This window comes from Homo sapiens, chromosome 15 (genome assembly GCF_000001405.40).
Source record: "Homo sapiens chromosome 15, GRCh38.p14 Primary Assembly".
In the NCBI taxonomy this organism is placed as follows: Eukaryota; Metazoa; Chordata; class Mammalia; order Primates; family Hominidae; genus Homo; species Homo sapiens.
Window position 1 is genome coordinate 70,795,233 of NC_000015.10, and position 5,210 is coordinate 70,800,442.

At 46.0% G+C, this 5,210-nt stretch overlaps 1 pseudogene; it reads right to left on the reverse strand.

Moving 5' to 3' along the window:
• On the reverse strand, positions 1,285-1,914 carry RPL29P30 (ribosomal protein L29 pseudogene 30; annotated as a pseudogene).

A 5,210-nucleotide genomic window follows, 5' to 3' on the forward strand; every position in this document is an offset into this window, starting at 1 on the left:
GCTGAGGGAGGGTGGGGATGGGAGATGGGGTTTATCCACCAGCTGATCAAGCCTACCAGCAGCAAGTCCTCCGGGTGTTGGGGATTTGGGGGCTTCTTCCCAGGCCAGTGTAGCTAATTTAAGTCATCTGTGTGCCGAAATTCAGTTAAAATGGAGTTTTAGCAGAATTCTTCATGTGGATGCTGTGGTTAAACAGAAATTCCTTTTCAATGATGTTTGAACAGTGAGTCAAAATAAGGCCAGTAATAAGCTAGTGATGAGTAACTCCAGGACAGAGCAAGACCTGGGTGGAGAGGATGTTTATATGGAGCACACGGGCCAAAGTAGAAGGGAAATGATTCCTTCTCCAGGTCTCTTAGCAGGAGGTGGCCTCCTGCTCTCCTCCCACCCACCCCTGTTCTATAGGGATTATTGTTTCCTTACAGAATTCCTGAGCCTGACTGAACTTCAATGATCATAGTCAAGGATCTGTCTTTTTCAACATAAAATTTCTTTTATCGCTTTTTCTTATTAAAAAGTACCACTGCTCCACAGGCGCGGTGGCTCATGCCTGTAATCCCAGCACTTTGGGAGGCCGAGGTAGGTGGATCACTTGAGGTCAGGAATTCAAGACCAGCCTGGACAACATGGTGAAAGCCCATCTCTATTAATAATACAAAAAATTAGCTGGGGGTGGTGGTGCGCACCTGTAATCTCAGCTACTCGGGAGGAGAGAATCTCTTGAACCTGGGAGGCAGAGGTTGCAGTGAGCTGAGATTGAACCACTGCACTCCAGCCTGGGCTACAGAGGAAGACTTCATCTCAAAAAAAAAAAAAAAAAAAAAAAAAAAAAAAAAAAGGATTACTGCTCATTACAGAAAAATCAGAAAATACTAATACAAGTAAAAAGAAGAAATGTTAAAGTATTCATAATCTCTCTTAAACATCACTATTAATGCCACTTTAGATTATTAGTATGCCTTCCTAGGTAAACATATATATATGTAACATATTTGGGTATATATAAAATATATGATACACACAAATGCACTTTTTTCCAAGAAAAACAGGTCTGTCCTGTAGTATGGCTTTGTGCTGTATTTCTCCTCTTTTACCTAACATTTCCTGTGGCTGTAGATACATTTGACAGCATCATTTAGTGGCTGCATATTTTCCTACCACCTGAAGTACTAAGTTGATTTAGCCAGTTCCCTGTTGTTGGACACTTAGGTTGTTGCAACTTTTTCTCGATTATAATTGTAATGAACATCCATGCAGCTAAATCTTTGCATAAATTATTTTTTTTCATGCCTCAGGTTTATTTGTACAAATAGCACAGGAGGACACCAGCCCCATGCCGATGGCAGCCCGGGGGGGTCGCACCAGTCCTTCTGTCCTCACGTTGGCAGACAGAGATCTCTACTCTGAAGCCTTTGTAGGGGGACTGGGCACCTTTGGGAGCCTGAGCTGGAACTGAAGCCGGAGCTGCAGCCTGGGCCTTGGTTTGATCCTTGGCCTTGGCCTTTGGCCGGCACAGCCTGAGCGCCTTGGCAATGCGGGCACAAGCATGCTTCCCAAGCTTGGGGTAGCCAGTGTAGGCAAGCTGATTGAGCTTGCGGCTGACACCCTTTGGGATCTTGGGCTTAACCTCCTTGGGCTTTACGAGGGCCTTGATAGCCTTGGCACGTGCACTCATGGCCTTGGCACTGTTGGCCTGCATCTTCTTTAGGCCCTTCTTGCTGTGCTTCTTGGCAAAGGGCATGTTCCTCAGGAATTTGGGATCCACCCCCTTTAGAGACACCGATCTTTGTGACTGAGGTTTCTTGATACCATTTCTGTGCCGTTTTTGGAACTGGTCATGTGTGTTGTGGTTCTTGGACTTGGCCATGTCTGCACCGTAAGCCATGGCTCCCAAAGCTCCTAGAACCAGAAGAGCTTGCATAAATTCTTAACCCTTTCATTGGATAAATTCCCAGAAGTTAAATTGCTAAAGCTCCTTCATATTTATATGTTGGGAAAAATAAACCCAGACATTGGCCTAAAACACTGAATTAACACTAAAAGGTTACCACCCTTCAGTGGGGAGTTGGACAACCCATGCCAATGAGCTCCAGGGGCCGTGCTATTTGCTCTGTACAAGGAAGAGACTCTCCATCCTCATGTGACTGTTGCAGTTACCAGCTGTGAAAATGGAAGCCACAATTATAACTTCTTGTAAAAGCAAGGGCTCTTCATTAAAAGCCATCTATGGGAGTTACCCATCTTCTGGATCCTCAAGTGTGGGATACTTTGGAACGCATGTATGTATATCAGACCTGTCATACTTACCTTCCTTTAGCATGTGTGGACATTGCATCCTTCTTTCTCTTCTCTTTGCATACCTTCTTCTGCTGCTGGCCACAGGTGAACGGTTTTTGGAATTCTGTAGGAATGTCCTGGCCCATTATCAAATAGTGCCTGCTTCTCACTTAACACCTCTGCCCTGAGGATATTTGGAGTGCAATTCAAAGGCCTCAGAACAGAAGCACAAATTGTCATATCTAGTAGAAAGCAGATCAAAGCTGCATGAGGTGGCTCACACCTGTAATCACAGCACTTTGGGAGGCCAAGGTGGGCGGATCACTTGAGGTCGGGAGTGCGAGACTAGCCTGGGCAACATGGTAAAACCCTTTCTCTATTAAAAATATAAAAATTAGCTGGGCATGGCAGCAGGCACCTATAATCTCAGCTACTCAGGAGGCTGAGGTACGAGAATCTCTTGAACCCAGGAGGCGGAGGTTGCAGTGAACCGAGATTGTGCCACTGCACTCCAGTCCAGGTGACAGAGTGAGACTCTGTCTCCAAAAAAAAAAAAGAAAAAAAAGGAACAGGTCGAGATCCCCACCCCCACCTTAGAAACACAGTTTAAACTGAGTCAGCTTGTGGCTAAATCTGTAAGCTAATAATCCTCCTCCAGGGAGAATGGCGGCTGGGTGAAGGGTTGCTGGGGCAGGTAAGGATTTGTAGAGGAATACAAGTGGGGCTGTAGCGGAAAGAGGAAGGTGCACATTGAAGTTGAAAGAGAGTTGGCTTGGGAGTGAGGAAAATGGGTTCCAGTTCTGCCAAGGACATGCAGTGTGTCTTTGAGGAAGTTGCCTCCCTACTCTGCTCCTGTTTCTTCATCATTTAACCAGGTGCTACCATCCCGTCCTGTTCTCACTACTTTGCTCTTTTCCTCATTCATTTAATAATTTTCTAGTAACGTGGTTCAGAGCATTGCTTCATGACTTTTGACAGTCTTTTACACTTTCTGAATCTTGTAGATGGGCTGCCCAGTAACTGATCGCATCTGAATGCCTTGGAGAGTTAGCAAGTCAACCTCTGGCTTTCACTATTGTCAAAGCCCTTCAGTTTCCAAAGCCTCTCCTATAGCAGCAAGCTCTTGTTTATAGGTGAACATGCTCCCTTGCTTTTAAAGCCTAGAACATAGGGGCCTCCGGGAGCTAGGAATGTCCACCTCATGTATACCTGGAGAATTCCCCCACTTCTACTCACTTTCTGCAAGGCCTTTGGCCACCAGGAACTAGAGAGTTGGCAGATAGATTTCATCCAGCATGCCAGCCTAATCAAGTGGTGGTAGCTGCCTCCACGGTCATACTGAAAAGCACTCTAAGGCCACTTCCATTCTCAACCAGAAAGATTGCCACGTCTGCCACGAGCAAGGAACATGGGGAGGAGGTGCCATTACTGCCATTTCTCGCTCTTCCTGACCTAGTTTATGAGAATCAATAAATTTGCAGATCTCAGCTTTCCAATAGGTTCCTGTGCTCCAGGGCGGGGATACAGAAAATCATCCCTCTTAGGGAACATGAGCTTGAGCAGAAGATGACCAGCACTGTAAAAGGTGTGCGTCTCACTCAAAACCGTCTAGCAGCATGGAGGTGAGGTGTCTCCTCTCACCTGGACACTGCATTTTCTCAAACTGTGTTTTACCCTTGGTTGGTGGCTTATCCTCCCCAAGCCTTCTCTGGATGTTAATTTTAACTTTTATCCTGTTTTATTTTGAGTAGGTAAGGTGAGAACTCACAGTGAAAGTGGCTTTGAGCCTCTGTTTTCCAGCAGGAGAAACTAGCTGGACCACTATGGGCTGGAAGTTGGGACTTCAAACACAATCCATTATTTTCTGGAAGGAAAATGTTTAGAAGCTAGCACCGAGGGCAGGGTTTGATGTGTTCTCCTCATTCTTTTGATGTGAGTGGAAAGTAAAAGAAGTGTGGGGTAGTTATTAGAGGAACTCTAAGGTGGGGAGCAGAAAACTCCAGAAGGATTTGTTTGTTTGCTTGTTTTGAAACAGAGTCTTGCTCTGTCACAAGGCTGGAGTGCAGTGGCACGATCTTGGCTCACTGCAACCTCCGCCTCCCAGGTTCAAGCAGTTCTCCCTGCCTCAGCCTCCCGAGTAGGTGGGATTACGGGCGCCTGCCACCATGCCCGGCTAATTTTTGTGTTTTTATTAGATATGGGGTTTCGCCATGTTGGCCAGGCTGGTCTCGAGCTCCTGACCTCACATGATTCACCTGCCTCGGCCTCCCAATGTACTGGGAATACAGGCATGAGCCACTGCTCCTGGCCTCCAGAAGGGTTTTGAAAGCAGGCTTCCTAGAACTGGAGCTAGCATGCATCTGTGTTCGTGGCAGTGTGGTCTACAGGGCAAACCAAGGCGTGGAATCAGGAAGCCAGAGCTCTATCTTCAGCCTTGTCCCCATTGAAGAAGTCAACTCGCCTGTCTGGGCCTCAGTTTCCCCGTCAGTTAAAACATGCCCTGCCCACCTCAGTTTTGGGAATAATCTGATGAGAGAAAGGATGTGAATATTTCTTGAAAAAAAAATAGCTAAAGAGCTATATAAATGGAAGGCATGATTGTTTGTTTTCCTAAGTGAAGCTGTCTCTTTGCCATCACTGCTGGAGAGGCTGTTTGGATTGTAAGTATTTGGCCTCTGAACTTTCATTCTGGACTGGAGCAGCTGTGGGTGGCAGGAATGCAGAGAGGGAGGAAATATCAGAGTTAGCAAGCCTGGGCCTCAGTCTCAGAGTTGGCCAAGTTTCTAGGGGAAAAAAATAATCTCAAGTAGCTCTTTGTGGTCATGAAGGATACACTTATGCAATTGTTTTCAATATTTTAAGAGTCTGAAGAAAAGCTTTAAGGAACACTTATCCCAATGGAAAGCAATAGAGTTCCTCATTCAACCTAGACC